Source organism: Homo sapiens, chromosome 16 (assembly GCF_000001405.40).
Source record: "Homo sapiens chromosome 16, GRCh38.p14 Primary Assembly".
Lineage (NCBI taxonomy): Eukaryota > Metazoa > Chordata > Mammalia > Primates > Hominidae > Homo > Homo sapiens.
Window position 1 is genome coordinate 2520231 of NC_000016.10, and position 25950 is coordinate 2546180.

The 25950-nt window shown below is 56.3% G+C and overlaps 3 protein-coding genes and 1 non-coding gene across 15 annotated transcripts in view, besides 10 other annotated features; 2 read left to right on the forward strand and 2 right to left on the reverse strand.

The window, feature by feature from the left end:
* Positions 7-116: a silencer, noted in NCBI's record as "silent region_7058". NCBI's record gives its function as "represses an Ori minimal core promoter by ATAC-STARR-seq in GM12878 lymphoblastoid cells {active_cell/tissue: GM12878}" and the evidence as "EXISTENCE:reporter gene assay evidence [ECO:0000049][PMID:35858748]".
* AMDHD2 (amidohydrolase domain containing 2) lies at positions 141-11187 on the forward strand. 7 transcript variants are annotated; one of them, NM_001330449.2, is made up of 11 exons: positions 141-311; positions 539-675; positions 754-893; positions 7331-7385; positions 7543-7755; positions 7830-7918; positions 8006-8150; positions 8222-8329; positions 8420-8488; positions 8764-8865; positions 9245-11187. In NM_001330449.2, exons 1-11 carry the CDS (start codon positions 229-231, stop codon positions 9331-9333), a joined length of 1230 nt encoding a protein of 409 aa, NP_001317378.1. In that variant the 5' UTR covers positions 141-228; the 3' UTR covers positions 9334-11187. The 7 variants fall into 7 exon arrangements, with proteins under 7 accessions (NP_001317378.1, NP_001139287.1, NP_057028.2 ...); NM_001145815.2 differs by having other exon boundaries at positions 8222-8488; positions 9245-9295; positions 10027-10724; NM_015944.4 differs by having other exon boundaries at positions 8222-8488.
* Positions 287-356: a silencer, noted in NCBI's record as "silent region_7059". NCBI's record gives its function as "represses an Ori minimal core promoter by ATAC-STARR-seq in GM12878 lymphoblastoid cells {active_cell/tissue: GM12878}" and the evidence as "EXISTENCE:reporter gene assay evidence [ECO:0000049][PMID:35858748]".
* CEMP1 (cementum protein 1) lies at positions 9805-11178 on the reverse strand. Its single transcript, NM_001048212.3, has one exon. It carries the CDS (start codon positions 10841-10843, stop codon positions 10100-10102), a length of 744 nt encoding a protein of 247 aa, NP_001041677.1. The 5' UTR covers positions 10844-11178; the 3' UTR covers positions 9805-10099.
* Positions 11581-11630: an enhancer, noted in NCBI's record as "active region_10272". NCBI's record gives its function as "activates an Ori minimal core promoter by ATAC-STARR-seq in GM12878 lymphoblastoid cells {active_cell/tissue: GM12878}" and the evidence as "EXISTENCE:reporter gene assay evidence [ECO:0000049][PMID:35858748]".
* MIR3178 (microRNA 3178) lies at positions 11692-11775 on the reverse strand. The gene has a single exon (NR_036139.1). It is a non-coding gene; the product is annotated as a microRNA 3178 (primary transcript).
* Positions 12409-13110: an enhancer, noted in NCBI's record as "H3K27ac-H3K4me1 hESC enhancer chr16:2582640-2583341 (GRCh37/hg19 assembly coordinates)". NCBI's record gives its function as "activates a minimal SCP1, AML or CMV promoter by ChIP-STARR-seq in primed H9 embryonic stem cells {active_cell/tissue: H9 hESC(primed)}" and the evidence as "EXISTENCE:reporter gene assay evidence [ECO:0000049][PMID:30033119]".
* Positions 12411-12460: an enhancer, noted in NCBI's record as "active region_10273". NCBI's record gives its function as "activates an Ori minimal core promoter by ATAC-STARR-seq in GM12878 lymphoblastoid cells {active_cell/tissue: GM12878}" and the evidence as "EXISTENCE:reporter gene assay evidence [ECO:0000049][PMID:35858748]".
* Positions 17298-17607: a silencer, noted in NCBI's record as "silent region_7060". NCBI's record gives its function as "represses an Ori minimal core promoter by ATAC-STARR-seq in GM12878 lymphoblastoid cells {active_cell/tissue: GM12878}" and the evidence as "EXISTENCE:reporter gene assay evidence [ECO:0000049][PMID:35858748]".
* Positions 17718-17927: a silencer, noted in NCBI's record as "silent region_7061". NCBI's record gives its function as "represses an Ori minimal core promoter by ATAC-STARR-seq in GM12878 lymphoblastoid cells {active_cell/tissue: GM12878}" and the evidence as "EXISTENCE:reporter gene assay evidence [ECO:0000049][PMID:35858748]".
* Positions 17791-25950, forward strand: part of PDPK1 (3-phosphoinositide dependent protein kinase 1) — a 65168-nt gene continuing 57008 nt past the window's right edge. For 3 of the 6 annotated variants that reach the window (NM_002613.5, NM_001261816.2, NM_031268.6), the window contains exon 1: positions 17791-17906. In NM_002613.5, coding sequence (NP_002604.1) covers positions 17883-17906 — 24 coding nt within the window. In that variant the 5' untranslated portion in view covers positions 17791-17882. Of the gene's footprint in view, positions 17907-18388; positions 18542-19605; positions 19821-25950 lie in introns of those variants that run through there. The other 3 variants (XM_047434200.1, XM_024450296.2, XM_047434199.1) reach the window with 3 other exon arrangements.
* Positions 17938-18067: a silencer, noted in NCBI's record as "silent region_7062". NCBI's record gives its function as "represses an Ori minimal core promoter by ATAC-STARR-seq in GM12878 lymphoblastoid cells {active_cell/tissue: GM12878}" and the evidence as "EXISTENCE:reporter gene assay evidence [ECO:0000049][PMID:35858748]".
* Positions 18186-18886: an enhancer, noted in NCBI's record as "H3K27ac-H3K4me1 hESC enhancer chr16:2588417-2589117 (GRCh37/hg19 assembly coordinates)". NCBI's record gives its function as "activates a minimal SCP1, AML or CMV promoter by ChIP-STARR-seq in naive H9 embryonic stem cells {active_cell/tissue: H9 hESC(naive)}" and the evidence as "EXISTENCE:reporter gene assay evidence [ECO:0000049][PMID:30033119]".
* Positions 19950-20039: an enhancer, noted in NCBI's record as "active region_10274". NCBI's record gives its function as "activates an Ori minimal core promoter by ATAC-STARR-seq in GM12878 lymphoblastoid cells {active_cell/tissue: GM12878}" and the evidence as "EXISTENCE:reporter gene assay evidence [ECO:0000049][PMID:35858748]".

The window sequence follows — 25950 nt, forward strand, 5'->3', positions numbered from 1 at the left end:
TGCTCAGCTTGTTGGGGGCGGGGGCGGGCGGGCGGGCGGGCGGGCGCCGGGCGCTGCCGGTCACGTGGGCTGGCTCGATCACGTGGGCGCGGCGGTCACGTGGCGCGCCGCTTCAGTCAGCTGAAGGTCACGTGGGCGCGGTCTCAGCTCTCGGCTGGGGTTCGTCACTGGGCGCGGGATTTGGCCGCCGCGGGGCTCCGGAGCCGCTCGCTCCCGACACGGCTCACGATGCGCGGCGAGCAGGGCGCGGCGGGGGCCCGCGTGCTCCAGTTCACTAACTGCCGGATCCTGCGCGGAGGGAAACTGCTCAGGTGGGCGCGGGCCGGGGACTGCGGGGCTGGGGACCGGGCGGGGTGCAGGGTGCGGGGCCGGGGACCGGGCGGGGTGCAGGGTGCGGGGCCGGGGACAGGGCGGGGTGCAGGGTGCGGGGCCGGGGACCGGGCGGGGTGCAGGGTGCGGGGCCGGGGACCGGGCGGGGTGCAGGGTGCGGGGCCGAGGTCAGGCCCGCGATGCGAGCGCCCACCCACTGCGTCCCCAGGGAGGATCTGTGGGTGCGCGGAGGCCGCATCTTGGACCCAGAGAAGCTGTTCTTTGAGGAGCGGCGCGTGGCCGACGAGCGGCGGGACTGCGGGGGCCGCATCTTGGCTCCCGGATTCATCGACGTGCAGATCAACGGTGCGGCCCGGGGCCGGCAGGGGAACCCAGGGGAGGAGCTCTGAGCTCCATGCGACACTTCCTTTTCTGTGGCTGCAGGTGGATTTGGTGTTGACTTCTCTCAAGCCACGGAGGACGTGGGTTCGGGGGTTGCCCTCGTGGCCCGGAGGATCCTGTCGCACGGCGTCACCTCCTTCTGCCCCACCCTGGTCACTTCCCCACCGGAGGTTTATCACAAGGTGAGGTGAGGCTCCCTGGCTGAGGTGGAGGGGGCTCCCGGAGCAACCAGCGCCCTCATTTTCAAACTCACGCCCCACCCCCCACCCCCAGCACGTATTCCATGGTCCTGAGTCTGGCCTCCTTTGATGACCGGATCTGGGCCTGGGTCCCGCCCCTGTGCTTCTTTATCAGTTGTCGCTCTGCCTGGCCTCCCTAGACCCTCTGTCCTCCGCAGCTGTCTCCACACTGCTGGCTCAGCACCGTCTGAGCCATAGGCCGTCCCCACCCCCTGCACTGCACTCTGGCTGCCTCCAGGCTTCAGAAACCATCCCCTTAACCAAGGCCGCAGGGGATTCTGTGATTGGCACAGCGATAGTCCCTGGTCAGGCTCTTCCTCCCTAACCTGTCTGATGTGTGACTCAGTGGAACACGCCTTCCAGAAGAGACTCCCCCTGCTCCTGTACTGCTTGCCCCACGCTTCCATTTTCTTTCCTGCCCGGAAGAAATTTGGTTGTCCTTGGTCTTTTTTTATTTTAATTTTTACTTAGGTTCTACAGGGTTAACTTTTTGCTGTATGTTACTACTATTCAGGCTCCTCTTGGCTGTACCTGTGCTACTGTTTTTTACTGAACTATTTGAGAGTAGGTTGTATCCAACATGCTTTTTTTTTTTGTTTAGTTTTTTTTTTTTTTTTTTTTGAGACGGAGTCTCGCTCTGTCGCCCAGGCTGGAGTGCAGTGGCACAATCTTGGCTCACTGCAGGCTCCGCCCCCCAGGGTTCACGCCATTCTCCTGCTTCAGCCTCCCAAGTAGCTGGGACTACAGGTGCCCGCCACCTCGCCCGGCTAATTTTTTGTATTTTTCGTAGAGACGGGGTTTCACCGTGTTAGCCAGGATGGTCTCGATCTCCTGACCTCGTGATCCGCCCGCCTTGGCCTCCCAAAGTGCTGGGATTACAGGCGTGAGCCACCGCGCCCGGCCAGTTTTTGTTATTTTTAAGAGACAGGGTTTCTCTCTGTGGCCCAGGTTGGAGTAGAGTGGTGTGGTCATAGCCCATTGCAGCCTCATTCTTCTCTGCTCAAGCGATCCTCTTGCTTCAGCCTCTTGAGTAGGTAGGACTACAGGTGTGTGCCACCATGCCCAGCCAATTTTAACATTTTTTGTAGAGAAAGTCTCACTGTGTTGCCCAGGCTGGTTCTGAACTCCTGGGCTCAAGAGATCCTCCTGTCTTAGTCCCCCAGAGTAGCTGGCACTACGGGCTTGTGCCACCACACCCGACTAATTTAAAAAGCTTTTTCGGCCGGGCGCGGTGGCTCACGCCTGTAATCCCTTTGGGAGGCCGAGGCAGGCGGACCACGAAGTCAGGAGATCGAGACCATCTTGGCTAACACAGTGAAACCCCGTCTCTACTAAAAATACAAAAAATTAGCTGGGAGTGGTTGCGCCTACCTGTAGTCCCAGCTACTTGGGAGGCTGAGGCAGGAGAACCGCTTGAACCCAGGAGGCAGAGGTTGCAGTGAGCCGAGATTGCGCCACTGCACTCCAGCCTGGGCAACAGATCGAGACTCCATCTCAAAAAAAAAAAGTTTTTTGTAGAGACAGGGATCTCATTATGTTGATCAGGCTGGTCTCAAACTCCTAGGCTCAGGAGATCTACTGCCTCGGCCTCCCATAGTGCTGGGATTATAGGCGAGAGCCACTGTGCCTGGCCCATCATGCCTGTTTATTCCTTAGTACTTAACTTTTTTTTTTTTTTTTTGAGACATAGTCTCCCTTTGTTGACCAGGCTGGAGTGCAGTGGTGCGATCTCGGCTCACTACAACCTCCGCCTCCTGGGTTCAAGCGATTCTCCTGCCTCAGTCGCCCGAGTAGCTGGGACTACAGGCGCCCGCCACCATGCCCGGCTAATTTTTGTATTTTTAGTAGAGACGGGGTTTCACCATACTGGCCAGGCTGATCTTGAAATCCTGACCTCACGATCTGCCCATCTCAGCCTCCCAAAGTGCTAGGATTACAGGCGTGAGCCATGGTGCCCAACCAATACTTAACTATTTCTTAAGATAATGAATATTTTCTTATGGAGCCACAAGAGTTAGTGAGTTTAGAAAATGAACCCTGTTAACAGTACTTTAATTGAGCCGTCTGTGTTCTAGTTCTGTCCAGAGCCCCCGCCGTTTTCCCCTCCAGCACAGGATTCATTTCAGGATCATCACTTGCGTTATATGCCCAAGGGGTCCCTCTCTTGGTGTGTGGGCAGAGCCAGAGCTGGGAACAATGGGGGTGGTGTGTGGGTTCTGGGCTCAGGCTTCCTGGATTTGGCATTGGCCTCCTGATGTCATGTATCGGCTGGAAGACTCAGGACAACCTTCTGCCTTTCTGAGCCTCCGTTTCCTCAAACCTGAAGTGAGGATGAAGGCAGCGTGCATGGCTTAGGGGCGTTGGGTGCTCAGCATCGTGCGTGAGATGCTGAGTGTTCACCACTCAGTATTAGCCATGGATGTCTTTTTGGAAATTTCCCACAGCCCTCCCCACACAGAGTCAAATGTCAAAAACCTGCTGCCAACTGGCACCTGGTTCTCACAGCTGCTCTCTGGGGCTCTGGGGCCTGTCAGAGCCACCTGTCCAAGATTCAGGATTCAGCACATCACCTCTGCCCCACCCCTACCGGCAGCATTCCTTTCCTACCTGTCCAGCCTCTTCTCTGTCCCCAGCCACATTCCCCACTCCTGCCCCCAAACTCTTGGCCTAGAAGGCCCTGGCCTGCTCCCCAGGCCTCCTCTGCTAAGCCTTGCCTACCTGTCCCCACTGTGCCCCCCACTGCCTGCGCATCTCTGGCCAGCACAGGCGTGGGAGGAACTATGGCTCTTCTTCCTTAGGAAGAGTCTCTGACAAGTAGGACTTTGTTTTCTTCCCAGCATGCACTGCAGTGCAGGTGTCTTAACCCTTGGCGCACACACAGGATGAAGGCAGAGAGCCAACTATTGAGGGTGGGAATTGGGAAGCCTCCTGCCTGGATCATCTTAGAAACTGGAGGCCCCTTTTCACTCGGGTCTCCCCTGTGCCGTGCACGCCACCTCTTCCAGGGCCCACTCACCCTGGGTGGAATTGGATGGCCACTTTGCCAGAAGCTTCTTCGGTCTTTTGTTGTCCTGTTCTGGTCCATTAAGACCACCTTCTCTTTTCTGGGGGGTTTCCGCCTGTCCTTTGCTACGGTACTTGGAGACAGGTGAGCTCACTTTGTTCTTTGCTTTAAGTCTGTTACCTCCTGAGCCAAGGTGAGGCACCTCCAGGGGGCAGCCAGGCCCCTGCCTCTGGCCCCGCACACCCTCTACACTTTGACCTTTCCGGCTGTTTACCTGCCTGGAGTGTGCCTCACTCCCCTCCCCTCAGTTGATCTTTTACTGTGCTCTCTCTATGTAGCGCCCTCTTGCTCCCTTCTAAAACTCCATTCTGGAAAAACTCAGCCATTGTCTTTTTTTGTTTGTTTTTTTCCTGTTTTAATCTTTAGTGAGCCTGTGTATCCATAGGGCTTGTGAGGAAAAACAGCGGCCCTTTGCCCCAACCAGCATCCACCCTAGGGACAATCACTTTCAACTCAGTGGACTCTTGGAATTTGCGCCCGTAGCTCTAAAAACTGTGCTGGCTGCTTCTCAGTCTTTCAGCTCAGGGCAGAATCCATTGCCTTCCACCAGGAGAGCTGAACATCAGTGCTCTCGTGGCTCCGTGAGTCCTCTTAGCCCCTTTCTCTCCTCTCATCTTTCCTGGTAGTTCCCCATAATTGTGATGAGAATACCTGTGTAGGTCAGTCATCGGAGTGGTGTGAAGGGATGTGTGGCCCAGTGACATCTCAGCTGCCATTTCTGCTTGCTTTGCCGTGAGTGTTCTTTGCTTTGTTTCTTGGCTCTAACCCAATTCCAGGCTTCCTCCTGATTGTTTCACTCTTCTCTCTGGCCACTTATTTATTTATTTTTCGAGATGGAGTCTCCCTCTGTCACCCAGGCTGGAGTGCAATGGTGTGATCTCTGCTCACTGCAACCTCTGCCTCCTGAGTTTAAGTGATTCTCCTGCTTCAGCCTCCGGAGTAGCTGGGATTACAAGCACCTGCCGCCATGCCCTGCTAATTTTTGTAATTTTTAGTAGAGATGGGCTTGCTCCATGTTGGCAAGGCTGGTCTCGAACTCCTGACCTCAGGTGATCCAACTGCCTTGGCCTTCCAAAGTGCTGGGATTACATGTGTGAGTCACTGTGCCCAGCCAAATGTTGCTTTTTTTTTTTTTTTTTGAGATGGAGTTTCGCTCTTGTTGCCCGGGCTGGAGCGCAATGGCACAATCTCGGCTTACTGCAACCTCTGCCTCCTGGGTTCAAGCAATTCTCCTACCTCAGCCTCCTGAGTAGCTGGGACTACAGGCGTGTGCCACTATGCCTGGCTAATTTATTTATTTTTATTTATTTATTTTTTTGAGATGGAGTCTCACTCTGTCACCCAGGCTGGAGTGCAGTGGCGCGATCTCGGCTCACTGCAAGCTCCGCCTCCCAGGTTCACGCCATTCTCCTACCTCAGCCTCCCAGGTAGCTGGGACTACAGGTGCTCGCCACCACGCACGGCTAATTTTTTGTATTTTTAGTAGAGATGCGGTTTCACCACATTAGCCAGGATGGTCTCGATCTCCTGACCTCGTGATCCGCCTGCCTTGGCCTCCCCAGGTGCTGGGATTACTGGCGTGAGCCACCGCGCCTGGCCAATTTTTGTATTTTTAGTAGAGATGGGGTTTCTCCATGTTGGTAAGGCTGGTCTCAAACTCCTGACCTCAGGTGATCTGCTCGCCTTGGCCTCCCAAAGTGCTGGGATTACAGGTGTGAGCTACTGTGCCCAGCCCAGTGTTCCTTTTTCTGCCATCCTATTCTTGTTTCAGGGACAGAAGACCTCTTATTGGCTGGAGGGTGTCCGTGATGGCCCTTTTCCCTGTCCATCTCTCCTCGTGGTCTCTGCTTCCCTGCCTGGCCCTGTCCTCTTTTGTTCGGGCTCCTTTTCGAGGCTTGCCCAGGCTGCCTGCTGACCTTGGTGGTGTGCTTTCTTTCAGAAGAGGTGTCAGCAGGCCAGCTGGGGGCACCCAGCCTGCAGGAGGGGCATTATGGGGGTACTCGTAGGTTGGGGTCCCTGGCTCCTTTCTCTTGGGCTGGCTGGGTTCCCTGAGAAGAGTCTAGCAGTGCTCAGAGGGGCTGGGCCTGGCTGGCACCCTGCTGAGCACCTTGAGAACACACATTTCGCAAGTTCCTGCTGTGCCCACACCTACCCTTGCCAATCTGCTCTACTTCCCCGGGGGCCCGACCGGCACACTCAGGGCAGGCACTCTTCCGTTGGTCCCCACGTCACCCTACTTCTCAAGGCACCATCCTGAGCCTGTGGGGGTCACTTCCCCCACTGCGTGCACTCCCCCAGACCTGCCCAGTGTCCCTCTTGCCAAGCCTCCAAAGTCTGGCTGTCTTCTTTCTATCATCTGCTACCCCCCCAACCCCGCCCCCAGGTTTAGGGCTCTTAAAAGTCTTACCGTTGGCCAGGCATGGTGGCTCACGCCTGTAATCCCAGCACTTTGGGAGACTAAGGTGGGTGTTTGGTCAGGAGTTTGAAACTGGCCTGACCTACATGGTGAAACCCCGCCTCTACTAAAAATACAAAATTAGCCGAGCATGGTCGTGCACGCCTGTAATCCCAGCTACTCGGGAGGCTGAGGCAGGAGAATCGCTTGAACTCAGGAGGCAGAGGTTGCAGTGAGCCGAGATCTTGCCATTGCACTCCAGCCTGGGCGACAAGAGGGAAACTCCATTCCAAAAAAACAAAAAAAGTGTTACTGTTGTGTGGGTTGGGGAGTTCAGGGGAGGGTACAATCCAGCCACCATCCTCACCTGAAGCTCTTCTCTCTGGGAAGGCTCCCCCAGCCCATGCCTGTGTTGGAGAGAGGGAGTGTGCACTGGACTGCCTGCCCACCTGTTAGCCTCTGAGATGTGTGGTGTGAGCCCGTGTCCCCCCGTTCCCTGACACACTCGGTCTTCCTGATGGCGTCCAGCTCCGGCCATGGTGTGGACCACACACAGTGCTGAGCCCTGGCCATGCCCACACTGAGCTCTGCCCCAGGGTCCCTGCTGCTCCCAGGAGCCTCCTGCCTCCCAGCCCTGCTCCCTGGGCTGCTGTGCCCAGGGCCACCCTCAGTGCCCACAAGCCTGCCCACATGGCCAGGGACCGCTGGCATCCCACACACCTATCATTTCTTCCTGCTCCTGCCATGGGTCCTTCAATTCTGCCGGCTGTGCTTTCCCTGACCCCTGTGAGGGGACAGGCGGCCGGGGCTGGGCTGGGTGCTGGGCTCTGAACTCTGACCTGAGATCTCTGGCCTTGGCTAGGCTGTGGCCTCTGGGAATGGGCTGTGGGGGACAGGGCTTTAACAGCTGGTTCCCCCCAGGTTGTTCCTCAGATCCCTGTGAAGAGTGGTGGTCCCCATGGGGCAGGGGTCCTCGGTGAGTGGCTGACCTCCTCCCCGCCCCCACCCTGGGAGGCTCCTGCGGGACCTGTTGGCAGCCCCCACCCCTCCAGATGCCCAGCTGGTGGGGAGGGCAGGTGATAAGGGCTGGGTGGGGCAGGGACCTGCTGGAGCCACTTGCTCCCTCCTCCCAGGGCTGCACCTGGAGGGCCCCTTCATCAGCCGGGAGAAGCGGGGCGCGCACCCCGAGGCCCACCTCCGCTCCTTCGAGGCCGATGCCTTCCAGGACTTGCTGGCCACCTACGGGCCCCTGGACAATGTCCGCATCGTGACGCTGGCCCCAGAGTTGGGCCGTAGCCACGAAGTGATCCGGGCGCTGACGGCCCGTGGCATCTGCGTGTCCCTAGGTGAGGGGCCGGCTCGGGGTGGGCCTGCTTGGGGGACCTGGGCCAGGTGCAAAGTCTGAATCCAGGTCCCGCAGGGCACTCAGTGGCTGACCTGCGGGCGGCAGAGGATGCTGTGTGGAGCGGAGCCACCTTCATCACCCACCTCTTCAACGCCATGCTGCCTGTGAGTGCTATGGGGCCCCAGGGGCGGGGCTGGGGTCCCAGCAGCCCCTGCTGTCGCTCAGCCATCCCTTCCCTCGCCCCTGCCCAGTTCCACCACCGCGACCCAGGCATCGTGGGGCTCCTGACCAGCGACCGGCTGCCCGCAGGCCGCTGCATCTTCTATGGGATGATTGCAGATGGCACGCACACCAACCCCGCCGCCCTGCGGATCGCCCACCGTGCCCATCCCCAGGGTAAGCTGCGGCAGGTGGCCAGGACAGGTAGGATGACTGGGCTAGCAGGTTCTGAGCCTCTTCTCCCCCAGGGCTGGTGCTGGTCACCGATGCCATCCCTGCCTTGGGCCTGGGCAACGGCCGGCACACGCTGGGACAGCAGGAAGTGGAAGTGGACGGTCTGACGGCCTACGTGGCAGGTGAGCGCCCTGACCCACTGGGTCCCAGGTCCCAGCCCGCATGCCAGGTGGCCCACGACCCCCCCAGAGCCTGCCCTCTCTGCTCTCAAGGCACCAAGACGCTGAGTGGCAGCATAGCCCCAATGGACGTCTGTGTCCGGCACTTCCTGCAGGCCACAGGTCAGTGAGCAGCACGGGTGCGGGTTTAGGTGGTCTGTGAGTGGTGGGTCCCCAAGGGGCTGGACCGGGTGCCCGGACTGTAGCCCAAGCTCTGCCCACAGGAGCTCCTGGGCATTGGGTACTTGGTGACTCAGGCCCAGGGTGACAGGCAGACCAGCAGGGTCCTTGTTAGCCTGCTGCAGAGTCCCTGAGACAGGGAGTGCTGGTGTGGTTGGGGGCTGTTGGCAAAGCCATGTGGGCTTGGGGACTGTCACCTAGCTGTGTCCCCCAAGCAGGCTGCAGCATGGAGTCGGCCCTGGAGGCTGCATCCCTGCACCCCGCCCAGTTGCTGGGGCTGGAGAAGAGTAAGGGGACCCTGGACTTTGGTGCTGACGCAGGTGAGGGCCTGTCGCAGGGTCACCGGGCAGCCTGGCCCTGCCTGTAGACTCTGTTGTTCCTGGGGCGGCCTGGACAGGGCCAGGGAGGGTGGGTCCTCCCTAGCTCCCTCCTCTCAGGTGGGCTGCCGGCTGCCAGCCTCAGTTGTAGCCCCGTGTTGCCATCAGGCCGGGCTTTCTGGTGTTGCAGACAAGGCCAGGCAAGGGGTTGCAGGGAGCATTGTCCAGTACCTCTGTCCATCTGTGATGGGTCAGGGTGTCTTGCACTAGTCGTGTCCCTGGGCCTCAGTTTCCCCACCAGCGTCGGGTTGTTGGGGAGCAGCTCTGGGGTAGGTGGGCGGCCCCACTCCTGCCCCCTACTCATTGCCCGGCTCTGTCCCAGACTTCGTGGTGCTCGACGACTCCCTTCACGTCCAGGCCACCTACATCTCGGGTGAGCTGGTGTGGCAGGCGGACGCAGCTAGGCAGTGACAAGGACCTCGGCTGAGAGGACACCTGGCCGCAGCGGGATGCCATCAGGGCCGGGTGGTTGGGGAGCTGGTCTCCAGGGAGTGAGTCGGGAGCCCTGCTGGATTGATGCCCAGGGCCTGTGCGGCCGCCCTGGAGGCGGTGGCTGGGATAAACGTGCACCCAGCAGGACTCGCCTTGGCTCCGGGTTTTGCTTGTGCTCACATGTGGCACCATCCTTGGTTGCCCTCCTGGAGAAGGCATTCACGGCCTGGGGTGGGATGGCTGGGCTGTAGTTTAGCCTGGGCCTTGGGCCCCAGTGGGGGACAGGGCCTGTCTGCATGAAGTGGACCGGAGACCTGCAGACCCCAGGAAAGTGTCACTATGGGAGGGAGGGGCAGGCAGTCAGTGGCTGGTGCCATGGGGTGAAGCCACCATGGGCTGGGGGTGAAGAGCCGGCAGGAAGGGGACCAGTCACAGGGAGTGTGGACAGTCAGGGGTTTGCTTTCTGCTCCTGAGTTGGGGTGTGCAGCGTGGAGCCCACAGCCTGGTTCTGGGCCAGGGCACAGTGCCAGGGGCTCCGCTCTGACCTCCAGGAGGGAGACTGGGCCCGGGACCCCTGTTTTCTGCTCCCTGGACTGCCTAGCCCTGAGTGCCACGGATGACCAGCGTTCTGTTTTCTCTTCTCAATAACCCTATCTCTTCACACATCCCCAGGCCCAGTGCTTGCCGGCTGTGGTGACCCTGCCTGGTGCTGGAGGGCAGTATGGGAGGCACCAGTGTGCCCTGCTCACCCCATTAGTGTCATCCTGCCATCTTCTGTGTCCCCTTGGCCCTGGCACACACCCATGTGGCAAACACGGGCCGTGAGGCTCCCTGAACAGCTTCGAGGCGGGTGGGCTTCTGGAGCCCTCTTGGCTCTGAGGACAGCCACAGTGGGGTCAGACGTCAGGGATTGGTGCAGCCCCACGTCAGGGGTGATTGTCTTGACTTTCTCTCCATTTGAGTTCTGGGGTGGGTGGCTCCCTTCCCCCTTGCTTACAGGTGCTGTCCTGGGCACAGGAGGTACGCGCCTGGCTCTGCCACTGTTCTCTTCCCTCTGCTGCAAAGCCCAGTTAAGGAAATGTCTCCAGGTCCAAAGAGATAGGATGGTCTGGGCCCCACCTGTTGGAAGGGAACAGCCAGGGAAGAACCACCTGCCTGGGCAGGGCCTCGCCTGAGGGAGGGCCTGGGGCAGGGCACAAGGGGTTGATCTCAGCCCACAAGCCCCAGGGGCAGCCCAGGAAAGCAGGCGACGGATGTGGATCCTGACCTCCTGAGAGGTGTGAGGTGCAGGGATACCCACCTCTGCCTTGACGGCCGCGCACCCCTTAGGAAGTGGCTGTCCAGCGCCTGCCTGTGCTGGGCCTGGGAGAGGAGCTGTCTTGCCAGGGCTCCCAGGCAGGGAGAGGCAGGTGAGGTTCTCAGCCGATGTGTTAGAGGTTGAGCATCGCCTGTGCCCAGCTTGCTGGCTGTCAGTGCTTGATGTGCCCATCCTCAGCTAAAACCCAGAGCTGGCATGTTGGTCATCCCCACCTCAGACGGGACGCCCAGTCCAGAGCTGGTGAGCCCTGGGCCAGCCTTTGGGCCTGGCCTGCCCCATTCACCGGCCAGCGCCCCACCTCCCTGGCTGGAGGGTCGGGGAGGGGCTGGCAGAGATGGTTGGTCCACAGGGCTAGCCCTGGGTGGTGGGAGAGGGGCCCAGGGTCAGGGTGAGAGAGAGCTGGGCCAGGGAGCTGCTGCAGGATGATTTTGAGGTGTGGGGGAAGCACTCTTGGTTGGTTTTGGTTTGCTTTTTAAAAATTGTGGTAAAATACATAACAAAAGTAACTATCGTAACCTGAGCAGTTCTGTGACATGAAGTGAATTCACTGCTTTGTGTGACCTTGGCCACCATCATTCCCCACCACTCACTCCCGCTGGGCTCCCAGCCCTGCCCCACCATTCCGCTCCCTCTACAGCTATGGGTTTTACAAAGAAGGATGCAGGGCGCCCTGACTGCGGGGTGAGGGGCAGGCCTGCCCGCGGTGTGGGCATTCGCTGAAGGGGGACGCCCAGGTGTCTGCCTGAGTTACGGGTTGGGGGGTCGGGCATGTGGGGAGGGATGGAGTTGGAGGTGCATGCTCTCAGAGCTGGTAGGGGTGGCCCGTTTCGTCCCGTGTGTGAACTGGAGATGAGACCCGGCGCCTGCGATCCCGCAGACCGCGCCCGGCCGGGTGTCACTTGTGGGCGCACGCTGCCGGGATGCTGGGCCGAGCCCGCGGTTTAAGACCCAGATCTCAGCCAGGTCCCTTTCGCCGTCCGAGCCTCTGCACCTCGTGGGCTCCGAGCACATCCAGGCCAGAGACTGCGTTTGGGGCGTGGGCACGGGAGACCGTCATCAGCCAGGACGCTCTCGACCGATCCGGCCGCGCCCCGCCCAGCCTCGTAGCGCAGGCGCTGAGTCCAGGCTGACGCGCAACTCTGGGAGCGTTGCGGCACGCGGGGCCTTGCCTACTGTGGGAGGGGCTTCTGGGGGCGGGCTTCTGTCGGGCCAATTAGGATCGCCGCAGGGAAGGCACGCGCCGCGGCTGAGCAACAGGGGCGCGCGTCACCTTCTCTAGTTAACCCGCGCGGCCCCGGGCACAGAGCCCGAGGCTGCGCGGTCCCCGGCGGGCCCGCGGACCCCCCCCATCTCTGCGCCCCCCACATCTCTGCGGACCCCGCCTCGCCCCAGCCCTCCCATCCACAACCCTCACAACCTTGCATACCCCGCTACGCTCCCCACCGCGCCCTCACATTCCTGCAGACCCCGTCTCCCCACAACGCTCCCCGCCAACGCTGCGGAGCTCCGCGTCGCCCCAGCGCTCCCTGCCAAGCCCCCCACACCCCTGTAGACCCCGCCTCGCCCCAACCCTCCGAGCTGCTCCCCTTATACCCTTGCGGACCTAGTTTGTTTCGTCCCAGTCCTCCCCGTCGCGTCTCCCACATCCCTGCGGACCTCCCCGCGCCTCGCCTCTCCCTTCTGTTACGTATCACGCACAGGTGGATCCCACTACGACCCAGCTTGGCTCCTGTCCCGCACCTCCGCACCTGGCCTCTAGCCCCGCCCTCACTGTCTTGGGAAATGAAGCGGAGGGGTGGGCCGGACACTCTAGAAGCACCCTGGCTCGGAGCTTCCCTAGCTCGGAGTTGGTTTGGAGCCCAGGCTAGGGACCCAGGGTGGGCGCAGCAGGGGAGATTGGCACCAGAAGCGTGGAGGAAGGGCACCTCTTCAGCCCGGCTTTTCCGCCCCTGGAGTCTGGGACAGCTCCGGAGCGTCCGGGTACTCCCTCCCAGACTGGCCCTGTTCCTTTTATCACATTTATGTCACACACGTTTTTTCTAAATGGGTTTACACTTTTGCTATTACTTTGCAGTTCGGTTTGTGTGTGTGTGACGGAGCCTGGCTGTGTTGCGCAGGCTGGAGTGCAGTGGTGCGATCTCTGCTCACTGCAGCTTCCGCCTCCCGGGTTCAAGCGATTCTCCGCCTCAGCCCCCTTAGTAGCTGGGATTACAGGCGCACGCCACCACACCTGACTAATTTTTTTGTATTTTTGGTAGAGACAGGGTTTCACTATGTTGGCCAGGCTGGTCTTGAATTCCTGACCTCAATTGATTCGCCCGCCTAGGCCTCTGAAAGTGCTGGGATTACAGGCGTGAGCCACTGTGCCCAGCCTTTTTTTTTTTTTTTTTTTAACACGGAGTCTCATTCTGTTGCCCAGCCCGGCGCGATCCTGGCTCACTGCAACCTCAGCCTCCTGGGTTCAAGTGATTCTCCTGCCTCAGCCTTCCCAGTAGCTGGGATTACAGGCATGCACCAACACGCCCAGATTTTTTTTTTTTTTTTTTTTTTTTTTTTTTTTAGTAGAGACAGGGTTTTACCATGTTAGCCAGGCTAGTCTCGAACTCCTGACCTCACGTGATGTGCGTGCCTCGGCTTCCCAAAGTGCTGGGATTACTGGTGTGAGCCACCACGCCCAGTTTTTTTTGTTTGTTTGGTTTTTTTTGAGACAGAGTCTCACTCTGTCGTCCAGGCTGGAGTGCAGTGATGCTACCTCAGCTGACTGCAAACTCACTGAACCTCTCAGGTTCAAGTGATCCTCCTGCCTCAGCCTCCAGTTCCTGGCTAATTTTTTTAGTTTTCGTATAAACGGGGTTTCATCGTGTTGGCCAGGCTGGTCTGTAATTCCTGGCCTCAAGTAATCCACCCACCTCGGCCTCCCGAAGTGCTGGGATTACAGGCGTGAGCCACTGCGCCTTGTCTGCGCCCAGTTTTTGTTTGTTTTTTAAAGAGACGGGATCTCACTATGTTGCCCAGGCTGATCTTGAAGTCCTGGGCTAAATTTTTGTCACTGTGCCTGGCTAATTTTTGTATTTTTAGTATAAATGGGATTTCACCACATTGGCCAGGCTGGTCTCAAACTCCTGGCCTCGTGATCCACCTTCCTCGGCCTCCCGAAGGGCTGGGATTACAGGCGTGAGCCACCGCGCCTGGTCTGCGCCCAGTTTTTGTTAGTTTTTTACGGAGATGGGATCTCACTGTGTTGCCCAGGCTGGTCTTGAACCGCTGGGCTCAAATCATCCTCCTGCTTCTGCCTCCCAAAGTGCTGGGATTACAGGCTTGAACGACCATGCCTAGCCATAATTATCCAGCTATAAGGTCAGCTGATTAATTCGTCTCTCTATATAATAACATATTCACAGGTTGGGAGATTAAGATGAGAACATCTTTGGAGAGGACATTATTCTGCCTTTTAGAGAGAAGGGCCTAGGACAGGAATTCCCAGTGCTCAGGTTTAAAGGAAATATGATGTTCCCATCATCGGTACATGAACGTGCCCCTTTCTCTGCATTCCTACCAACACTGGATATTTTCCACTTTTGGGACTTTTAGCAGTTGTTGAGCCAGCCCATTTTACAGCGGGGATAATTGAGGTTTAAGGAGGGGAAATTACTTGCCTAAGATCTCATGCAACTTTCTGTTTCCTGACTCCCAGTCAAGTCTGATTCTCCCTTGGTATGGCTTATATGGGAGGATATTTACCTGGTGGCTTGGAAACCACTGAATGACTTTGTATCTTCCATCCATCCATGTATCCGCAGCCCAGCGAATGTATATTGGGAGCCTCAGACATGTGACCAGGGCCTTGTGGGCCAGAGGCAGCCAGGAGACCTTTTTTTTTTTTTTTTTTTTAAGACAGAGTCTCCCTCTGTCACCCAGGCTGGAGTGCAGTGGTGCGATCTTGGTTCACTGCAACCTCTGCCTCCCGAGTTCAAGAGATTCTTCTGCCTTAGCTTCCTGAGTAGCTGGAATTACAGGCGTCCATCACCATGCCTGGCTAATTTTTGTATTTTTAGTAGAGACGGGGTTTCACCATGTTGGCCAGGCTGGTCTCCAACTCCTGACCTCAAGTGATCCACCCACCTCACTCTCCCAAAGTGCTGGGCTTACAGGTGTGAGCCACAGCGCCTAGCCAGTGCTCTTGTCTTTTGAGAGCCCCCTTTTCTCTCACCTGATCTCCCTGCCCCCTATTTTCCCCTTTAGTCTCCTTTCCAGACGCTACTGAGTAGCTTCAGGGTCAGTCTAGAGATGCAATCCAGGTTGGGATCCTTGCTGGGAGAGCCCTTCCTTCCCTGGCTTTGTAACTCAGGGCCTTCTGGTGTGCACACCTGCAGGGTCCAGGCTGGGCCTGTGCTTCTAGCTTCTCTGTGTCTCTCCCTGAGATTGGAATCCTGGCTCTGTCCTCAACTAGCTTGAAGGGGGGCCCCCAGGAATGGCCCCTTCTGGATTTCATACCCTTGTGTAACCTTGTTTCACTTTTTAAAAGATTTTATTTAAAAAGTTTTTTTTTTGTTAGAGACAGGGTCTCACTTTGTTGCCCAGGCTGCTCTCAAACACCTAGCCTCAAGCAGTGCTCCTGCCTCAGCCTCCCAAAACACGCCCGTTCACTTTCTACCAGGGTTGTGTGTGACCAGCAGATGTGTTGGAAGTGATGGTGTGTCACTTCTGAGGTTAGGTCATTAAAGACGCAGCGGCTTCTATCTTGTGTGTGTTCTCTTTTTCTTGGGCCACTCGCTCTGGGGAAAGCCAGCTGCTGGGGCTTGAAAACACACACGCCTGGGAAGAGGCCGCACTGGTGAGGGACGGAGGCCTCCAGCCCACAGCTGTGGGAACGTGGGAATGAACCTTTTAGGAAGTGAATCTTTCGGCCCTGCTCTAGCCTTTAGATGACTCAGTCCTGGCAGCATCTTGATGGCAACTTCACAAGAGAGCCTGAGCCAGACCACCCAGCCTGGCCTCTCCTGGATTCCAGACCCGCAGGAGCCATGAGTTTCTTTGTTGTTTTACACATCAAAGTTTTGAGGCAATTTGTTACACAGCAGTATATAACTAATACACCAGCTGTAGGGCTTTGGGCACGTTCCTTAGCCTCTGCACCCCCGTTTCCTCCCTCGTGCCATGAGCATTGTAGAGGCGAGTGAGGAACACGTAGACGCAGCACAGTGCCACGCACATGAGGCAGCTTTCCAGCCCCTCCCGGGATGGTTGTGGTCATTTTCTTGCCCCTCCCTGGATGGACCGTGACCTCACAACGTCAGGCCAAGTTATTGCATTCTTGGCCTGAGGTCATCCATTGGCCATAGACAGAGGTTCTCGGCAGGAAAGGGTGAGATAAAGAGAGGGGTCAGTCTCTTTCCTCCAGCCCGGGTCGGGAGAACCGTGCTGGGCCAGGTGAGACATCCGCTGTCTGTGCGGTGTCCTGGGATGAGCCACTGGACCTGACCCATGGGGAGATTTGTCTGTGTCGCCAGAGGGCGAGGGGTTTCCTGGTCTAGCTTGCCTTGGGCTTGGCCAAGCATTCTGGCTGCCACTGGGGCCCCCAGGACAACTGAGAACTGTCCTTTCTTCTTTGACCTTCAGCTGCCCCTCTCTCCCCTGTCCCCTGGTGCCTGCTCAGATGCTTTCTTCTTGTGACCCTTGACCCTTGGCCCTTGGCCCCTGCCCCGAGGCTCCTCCACCCTGGGCTCCGTGTTCTAGAGTTCACTGTGTACTAGTTCCTCAAGCTGTTTGTCCTTCACTGCTTCCGATTTTTCTGTGCATTACTCAAGAACTGCATGGGCATGTGTCAGTATAAAAAAAAATAAAGTTGGCCGGGCGCGGTGGCTCACGCTTGTAATCCCAGCACTTTGGGAGGCAGAGGCGGGCGGATCACGAGGTCAGGAGATTGAGACCACGGTGAAACCCTGTCTCTACTAAAAATACAAAAAAATTAGCTGGGCGTGGTGGCGGGCGCCTGTAGTCCCAGCTACTCGGAGAGGCTGAGGCAGGAGAATGGAGTGAACCCGGGAGGCGGAGCTTGCAGTGAGCCGAGATCGCGCCACTGCACTCCAGCCTGGGCGACAGAGACTCTGTCTCAAAAAAAAATAAAGTTGGCCGGGCGTGGTGACTCACACCTGTAATCCCAGCACTTTGGGAGGCGGAGACAGACAGATCACTGGAGTTGGAGACCAGCCCCTGGCCAACATGGTGAAACCCTGTCTCTACAAAAAAATACAAACATTTGCCTGTGTGTGGTGGCACATGCCTGTAGTCCCAGCTACTCGGGAGGCTGAGGCAGGAGAATCGCTTCAACCCGGGAGGCGGAGGTTGCAGTGAGCAGAGATCGAGCCACTGCACTCCAGCCTGGGCAACAGAGCAAATTTCCATCTCAAAAAAACCAAAAACCCAAAACAAAAAAACACAAAAAAACATTATCGACATTAACAACTACAAGGCGCCCGGCTAATTGTATATTTTTAGTAGAGACAGGGTTTCTCCATGTTGGCAGGCTGGCCTCGAACTCCTCACCTCAAGTGATCCGCCCGCCTCGACCTCCGCCTCCCAAAGTGAGCCACCGTGCCCGGCCGTGAATGTGACTTGATAGCCCAGATTTCCTTCCGTGAACGCTTGTTAGTTGTGAAACTAGCAAAGTTGCGCCTCTGAGTTTACGCAGAGCCGGCTCCGGAATCCGAGTTCCGGGTTCGAGCACAGCTCCGCCGCTACCTCGGGCGTGACCTTGGCCGGAGCCTGGTCCCCTCTGAGCCTCAGTTTCCCGGTCTGGGATGCCGGAATGACAGCTCGCCCCCTGCCCCGCCCAGCCCCGCCCAGCCCCGCCCCGCAGGCCCTGGGATTGGTTCGCGCGAGGTCCCCCTCCCCAGGCGGGGTCGGGCCTCTCCCGCCCGCCAGGCCCCAACCCGGAAATGCAGCTGGAGCGGAGGCGGAGCCCACTAAGGCCGCGGCGGAGCGACGATGGGCGCGGCCAATGGGCGCGGGCGTCGGCTGCGGCGCGACGGAAGTCCTGCCCGGCGCCGCGCGGGGGCGGGGCGGCGCCGGGGGCGGGGGGCGGCGGGCGACGGGGCGGGCGCAGGATGAGGGCGGCCATTGCTGGGGCTCCGCTTCGGGGAGGAGGACGCTGAGGAGGCGCCGAGCCGCGCAGCGCTGCGGGGGAGGCGCCCGCGCCGACGCGGGGCCCATGGCCAGGACCACCAGCCAGCTGGTGAGCGCGCGGCGGCGGACTGGACGCGCCGGTTTGTTACCCTGCCGGGTCCGGCGGCCGCCCGGGTCCGGCGAGGCGGGGCGGCCCGGGGTCCCGAGGGCCGGGTGCCTCCTTACCTGCAGCCGGGCGGCCGGGCCGGGGATGGCGGGCGCCGGCCGAGGGCGCTGCTTGGCTGCGGCGGGGAGACCGGGCCTGGGTTGCGGCGGGCGGCGGCCTGGCCGGGGGCGCTGACAGACGCGCGGAGGGCGGGGGAGGCCGGGAGGTGTCACCCGGCCCAGCGGGGTGGAAGTGCCTGGAAAGTTTGTTTTCGGCTTGGCGCAGCCTGGAGCCGAGCCTCCAGGGTTACCTTTCGGTTCTGTCTGTAGAGGAACCGCCCTGGGCTTCCACCTGGAACGGGGTCCTTGGCGCCTCCGCCTGCGAGAGAAGCAGAAGGTGCAAGTTCTTGCTGAAAGCACCTGATGCTCCTGGGCCCCCTTTTCCAGATTCTTGATGACAGTGGTCGGGAAAACTCGCCTTTCACGGCCCGGCCAAGGGGCATTTGGGTGCTTTTGCTGCCCGTGGCTGTGCTCAGCGTTGTGGGAAGCCCCTGGGAGGCCGAATGTGCAGGATCACCGAGGGGAAAGTGAGCTTGACAGGTAGGAGGGATTTTAGGGGAAGGACCAAAACAAACCACTTGTTGGGTGAAATGTTTTGCTAAAAGTGTCGCTGGTGTTTCTATATTTTCTCTCTATCGCTAAAAGTATCCCTCGTGTTTTTATGTTTTCCATATGCTAAGTTCTACAGTCTGGGGACGACGGTTTAAAAATTTATGCCTTGTATGCGATGTGCAGTGGGTGATGGAAGAACGTCTACATGGCTTTAACATTTGATTTAAAAGGCAAATATTTTAAATGAAGGAAAACCCAAGAAATTTAATTGATCCCGTGTCTTCCAGGATGCGGCTTTTTTTTTTTTTTTTTTTTGATGGAGTCTCCCTCTCGACGCGCAGGCTGGAGTGCAGTGATGCGATCTCAGCTCACTGCAACCTCCATCTCCCGGGTTCAAGCGATTCTCCTGCCACAGCCTCCTGAGTAGCTGGGATTACAGGCGTATGCCACCATGCCCGGCTAATTTTTGTATTTTTAGTAGAGAAGGTGTTTCGCCATGTTGGCCAGGCTGGTCTGGAACTCCTGACCTCAAGTGATCTGCCCGCCTCGTCCTCCCAAAGTGCTAGGATTACAGGCGTGAGCCACCACGCCCGGCAGATGTGGCTTTTTGATAGGCGTTCTTGATCTTTTTTTTTGTGGGGCGGGGAGTGGGGGGTTGTGAGTCTGTTTGAGAACCTGAGGAAAGGTATGGGCCCTCTTCTGAGAAAAAGGCAGAGTGACGCTGAATTTTGTAACTACGTCAGGAGGCTCTTGAACTTTCTGCAGCTCACTCGTGGACTTTGTAGAGATGCGTGTTAAGGAAGAAGGTTCAGCTGAGAAAAATGTTGAAGGGATGCCTTTCGCTATTTCGACATGTGTGGCTGTACACCAGAGTGGCCCGGGTAACATAAAAACATGAATTAGGCGGATTGGCCAGGCTCAGTGGAGGCTGGGGCCGAGAGTTATGTCGAAGTTTGTGAGGTTAACCTGCACCCAGTGACAGTCATGGCGAAATTTGTGAGGTTAACTCGCACCCAGTAACGCTGTTCCAATGCAAGGTGTGTATTTGGTGTCATCCACGGGAAGAGGAAAGAGCAAATTTTCTCATGGCCTTGGCAGTTCCACATGATGGACATTTCATATCTGCAGTTTTCTTCGCATGAGATGGCTTTTTTGCACAAAAACACTGGAATCCAGTGAGCAAGAATGATAGAATGCAAGATGGATTTCCACATGAGGAAGTGTCACGAACGAGCGTTTTGCATCTGTCAGCTGGATTCCCCCATGTGTACGTATGTGAGAACATGCCGTGTTTCCTGTCTGTAATGGTAGAGGCAGCCCTGATCCTGGATTTTCACCTGAGGATGGATAGATCTTCAGGGTTCAAGTGGGTTTGCATCTGGACTTTAGGGTGGCCCTGTAGGCCCTGTGTGAGAAGCCCCCTTCCCAGTGAACTTTCCCTTGTGTGTCCGCGTGGACAGCCAACAGGGGGAGCAGTGCGAGCGTGAAGGCAGACAGTGGCCTGGCCCAGTCTGATGCTAAGTGGGCCAGAGGCAGTGAGTACCATTTCTTGATCTGACTACTCAAGACAGGCGCTTCCCTAGGTACTTTCACACCTCATTGCGAGGTAGGTGTTGTTCCCATTTTACGGGTGCAGAAGCTGAGCTGCAGAGGCGTTAGGTACCTGCCTCATAAGTGGTAGAGACTCCAGTGTCACCCTGCCCCTCACGTTCGGAGCCCCTGAGGGAGGGTCTGCCGGGCAGCTCAGCCCAGCACTCTGTAAGGAAATCTTCAGTGCCACTGCCCAGGATGTCTTCCCAGGGATTGGGCCTGAATGTCTTGACCATGCCGTGCTGGAGGTAGGAGGGGTGTCTTCATATGGAAGAACTGTACATATTTCTTTGGCAGATGGCTGAACTCTGTGACCCCGGGGCCTGTTTCAGCCTCCTGCTGTCAGAAAGCAGCTGTTTGGGAAGAGGCTGTGATTCGGCCTTGTTTGAGGGCCGATACTCTGAATGGGTGAGGCTTGAAATCCTCCCTTTGGAACAAAGAAACATGTAATGATTTTGCTGAAGGTAGAATTGGGGGACTAGGCAGAGTGGCCTCCTGCCCTCCCTAGGGTGGTTCTGTCTTTTGCAAAGGTGGCTGCATCCTTAGGGGAAGGTGAGGGGAGAAGCAGGGAGCATGGAGAGAAGTGGCTTTCGATTTTCTCTCTCCTTTTGGGGAGTTCCTCCTTATGTGGCTGGTCTGGTGCATAGTGTGATGTATTCCTGTACGCAACGTTGCCCTGACAGCCAGTCCAAGCTGAGTCTAGAGCTGGCAAGGTGAGCTCCCAGTGGTAAGAGGGAAGTGGTTTGTTCTGCTTTTCTGAGATGTGTTCTTATGAGAAGGATCCAGCAGCAGCCTGCAGAGATGTGGGGCCTGAAAAGAGGCCTTGGGCAGCTCTTCTTGACAGGTCTTGGCCCTCTAGACTGCCTTCAGCACAGTTTTGGGGAGAAACAGGGAGTGTTCCTTTTTCAGTCTATGCACTCATCCCCTGAGCCGCCTGACCCAGGGTTTAGATGCTCCAGGGCAGCTGATTGACACCGGTGGGAGACGGAGTCTGGCAAGCAGGTGATGAACTGGGAAGCGCTGCAGAAATGAGGGGGCAAGCGTGGCCAGTCCCTTCTGAGAGGATGTGTTTGGAAGAGAGTGGGCACTGGCGTGGCACTTTCCCCTTCTGAGGAAATGGACAGGATGCCACGTGGTGCTGCAGTTCTGTGTGGGGCAGGTTGTGGCTGCAGAGAAGCCCTGGGTGCAGAAACAGTCCCCCAAGCAGGTGCGAGGGCCAGGGTGCTCTATGCTGCTCCACACCTGCTGTGCGATGACATGTGGCCACTGGGCTGCCCAGCACAGTTGTTTAGAAAGCAGGTTCAAAGGGCAGTGTGCTGGGAGGAAGTGCTGCTGTGGAAACTGCAAGTTTTGGACATGAGTTGCTCAGGTCTTTTCAGCCGTGCATTCTTCTACAGCAGAATTGCATTATTCACTTGCTCAGTGTGATACCATGTCCTTTAAAAAATTATTTGAATATTGAGAACAGGTTGTATGTTCCGTCTCTAGCTGCTAGATCACAGGCAGGGCACATCTTCTCAAAGAGTAACAAGGCATGGGTTGTGTGTGTTCTCTTCTCTTAGTGAGGAGAAAGGCCTGTTTGGGTTCATGATGATTGTTGGGGTCTCTTTTCTGTACCTGATGTTGGTTGCACAAAGTCCGTTTCCATTCTCTTAGTCTAGACAATTTTCCTGATATTTAAACTGGAATTTTTGCTCCAAGAAATTCCAGGTCATTTAGAATGTGTTAAGATTGAGTTTCTGGGCTACACATCCCTTATAAGAGCACCTGATTCTGGTTTCTGTTTGTTTATTTATTTATTTTTTCGAGACAGTCTCGTTCTGTCACGCAGGCTGGAGTACAGTGGCATGATTTTGGCTCACTGCAACCTCCGCCTCATGGGTTCAAGTGATTCTCGTGCCTCAGGCTCCCAAGTAGCTGGGATTACAGGTGCGCACCACCTACATTATTTATTTATTTAATTTATTTATTGAGATGAGGTCTCACTATGTTGCCCAGGCTACTCAAACTTCTGGTCTCAAGGGATCCTCCCGCCTCGGCCTCCCAAAGTGCTGGGATTACAGGCATGAGCCGCCGCACCCAGCCTGGTTTCTGTTTAAAGAGTTGGATTATACAGGGACCCACAGAATTGGGAACTGACAGTACTGTAGAGCCTGTGTATGAAAAAGATGGACAAGCCTGACATTAGCAGCTCACTGTTGAGCACACGGCCCCCTGCAGAATAAACAAGTGTGTGGTTTCCATCTGATGAAGGTGGGCATGTAGTTCCTGGACAGTCCAGTGACTTCCGTCATTCCACAGACAAGATCAGATGCCCTCTCTACCAGCCACCGTGCTGGGACCGGCCCAATCTGTGTTTCAAGTCAGCTTGTAGCACGCAGGGATTCGAAATATTTAAAGATGAGGTTTGAAGGTAGGTCTGGAGACCAAGGACGTTAGTTCTGGAGGTCCCCGTCTCCTGCGTGTTTGCGGAGCTGGTGACAGTGCCCTCTCCCCGTGCTGGAGAGGGCTGAGGAGAGGCTGTGTGTCTCAGCAGGATGCCAGTCAGGATTCTTCTGGCTATGGGCTTATTTTTTGCAATAAATTCATCGTTAAAGTCCCATTCTTTAACCTGTTTTTTCCCTTTTGGAATTAATTCGACTGCAGTAGGAAGGGGTTGTAGCTGAAAGTGACCGCTGTGCATTGAATGCCATCAGAAAAGGCTGATGAGATTTGCAGGGAAGACTTGAAGCCTCACTGAAATGCGCCTGGCGTGTGTTGACCTTTGCAGTGGAACATGTGGGAAAGGGGCCCGCACTCACTTTTCAGTTCTGCCTCGGTGATTCCAGGAGCCCCGGGGTTGGGAGCGGGGACAGGACCTTGCTCCTGAGTCTTAGGTGTGGTGTCTCTCGCCCCTTGCTGCATTGGCGGGACCCTCGGTGCCGCGGCCTCAGTTGCAGGGCGGCCAGGGCTGCTCCGTGAAGGAGGCGCTCACTCCATGGAGCTGCAGGACGCTGCATTCTCCTCACTCTGGCCATTGCCGCTGTCCTTCCTGCTTCCCCTTTTCTGGTGAGGGAGGGCTCCAAGGACTTGCTGGCTGGTCCCCAGATGCCAGCACTCCTGCATCTTCCCCTCCTCTCCTGGCCTGTCACTTTGTTCCTCCTCTGTGAGGGGCCCAGGCTCGGATGCCCGGCCACGGCCTCTCTTTCCAGCCTGTGCGGCCCAGGTGGGTCCAGGATGTTCCCTGCTGCCCTGTTCTCAGCAGTTCTTGTCTTCTTCAGGCTTTTCCTCCTTGCCTAGAGAAATTTCCCTACATGGAAACCCCTGTGGCTGTACAGTCTTTTCTGACCAGTCTGCTGGGTTTTTTGTTATTTGTTTTTTGTTTTTGAGACAGAATCTTGCTCTGTCGCCCAGGCTGGAGTGCAGTGGCACGATCTCGGCTCACCGCAACCTCCGTCTTTCAGGTTGAAGCAATTCTCCTACTTCAGCCTCCTGAGTAGCTGGGATTACAGGCACGTGCCACCGCACCCGGCTAATTTTTTTTTTTTTTTTTTGTAATTTTAGTAGAGACCGGGTTTTGCCATGTTGGCCAGGCTGGTCTCGAGCTCCTGACCTCAGGTGATCCGCCCACCTCGGCCCCCCAAAGTGGTGGGATTACAGGCGTGAGCCACCGTGCCCGGCCTGCTTTACTATATTCTTTAGGGAATCATGACAATAAAAAAAAGTCTGTGCATGTTCAGTACAGATGCAATTTCTTGTTTTTCTAATATTTTCTATCCACTGTTGGTTGAATCCATGCATGTGGAGTCAACCTATGGTTGGGGATGGCAGACTGTATGTACTCTCCTGATAGGTGGTTACAAAGTGTTTCTACCTGAAGAGACCTGGTTGCAAAGCAGCATGCCCAGTATAACTTTCCTCAGGCCCAGGGAAAAGCTTGGAGGGAGGTTCCCACAGAAATATTAGCAGTGGTTTCCTGGGCCAGTGGGATGAGGACCACACATTGAGCTAGCAGTGGAGAAACAGTGGTGAATAAGGTAGGTCTGGCTCTGTCTCCTGGAACTTACTGGACTGAGGATGAACCTTTCTCCACTAATTTTTGTTCTGAAAAATTTCAAAACCGAAGAATAGTTGAAAGCATAGTACAATGAATATCCCTAGCCTTTTCACCTGGATTCTACCAGTTGTTAACCTTTTCCATATTTGCTTGTATACATTACCCCCTCACCTCCCCCAAATTTTTTTTTTTGAGACGGAGTCTCGCTCTGTCGCCCAAGTTGGAGTGCAGTGGCGCGATCTCGGCTCACTGCAAGCTCCGCCTCCTGGGTTCACACCATTCTCCTGCCTCAGCCTCCCAAGTAGCTGGGACCACAGGCGCCTGCCACCATGCCCGGCTAATTTTTTTGTATTTTTAGTAGAGACGGGGTTTCACCCTGTTAGCTAGGATGGAATTGATCTCCTGACCTCGTGATCCGCCCACCTCGGCCTCCCAAAGTGCTGGGATTTACAGGCATGAGCCACCACACCTGGCCCAAAATTTTTTTCTATTATTTTTATTATTTGAAAGTAAGTCACACACATGATAGCATTTCACCCCAGAATCCTTCTCCAGATGCCTTCTGAGCTCAGAAGCTGTCACCTGTACAACCTCTTCATCATCACATCCGAGATAGCATTAACATTGCATTTTTTTTTTTTTTTTGAGATGGAATCTCGTGCTGTTGCCCAGGCTGGAGTGCAGTAGTGCGATCTTGGCTCACTGCAACCTCCGCCTTCTGGGTTCAAGTGATTCTCCTGCCTCTGCCTCCCAAGTAGCTGGGACTTACAGGTGTGTACCACCAGTCGTGGCTAATTTTTGCATTTTTAGTAGAGGTGGAATTTTATTGTAACGTGGCATTTTCTAATGCAAAGGTGACGTGCAGCCTTCCTCAGTGGTCACCTGTCCTCCTCAAAGCTCTTTCTTGTTCTTCTTTCTTTCTCTCTCTTTTTTTTTTTTAGAGACAGAGTTTTGCTCTGTTGCCCAAACTAGAATGCAGTGGCATGATCATAGCTCACTGCAGCCTTGAACTCCCTTGGGCTCAAGCCATCCTCCAGCCTTAGCCTCCTGAGTAGCTGGGACTATAGGCCTGTGCCACCACACCTGGCTAATTTTTTTTGTTTGAGACGGAGTCTGGCTCTGTTCCCCAGGCTGGAGTGCAGTGGTGTGATGTCGGCTCACTGTAACCTCCGCCTCCTGGGTTCAAGCAATTCTCCTGCTTCAGCTTCATGAGTAGCTAGGATTACAGGCGCCCACCGCCACACTCGGCTAATTTTTATATTTTCAGTAGAGACGGCGTTTTACCATCTTGGCTAGGCTGGTCGCGAACTCCTAATGTCATGATTCACCCGCCTTGGCCTCCCAAAGCGTGAGATTACAGGCGTAAGCCACCATGCCCAGCACTGGCTAATTATAATTTTTAAAATTTTTTGTACAGATGGGGTCTCGCTTTGTTGCCCAGGCTGGTCTTGGACTGGGTTAAAGTGATCCTACCACCTGCTCCTCCCAAAATGCTGGGAATACAGGCATGAGCTACAGCAACCTGGCCAGCATTTCTTAAAATATGAGGGTAGTTGTCTCGTATTTTATATAAATACAGGATTCACAATCTGGATTTGTCTCATTGTTTCCTTGTTAGATTAGGTTCAGGCTAAGTATTTATGGCAAGAATACTGCTTAGGAGATGATGAGCTAAAGGTAACTTTTTTTTTCAAGATGGAGTCTCACTCTGTCACCCAGGCTGGAGTGCAGTGGCGCGATCTCGGCTCACTGCAACCTCTGCCACCCGGGT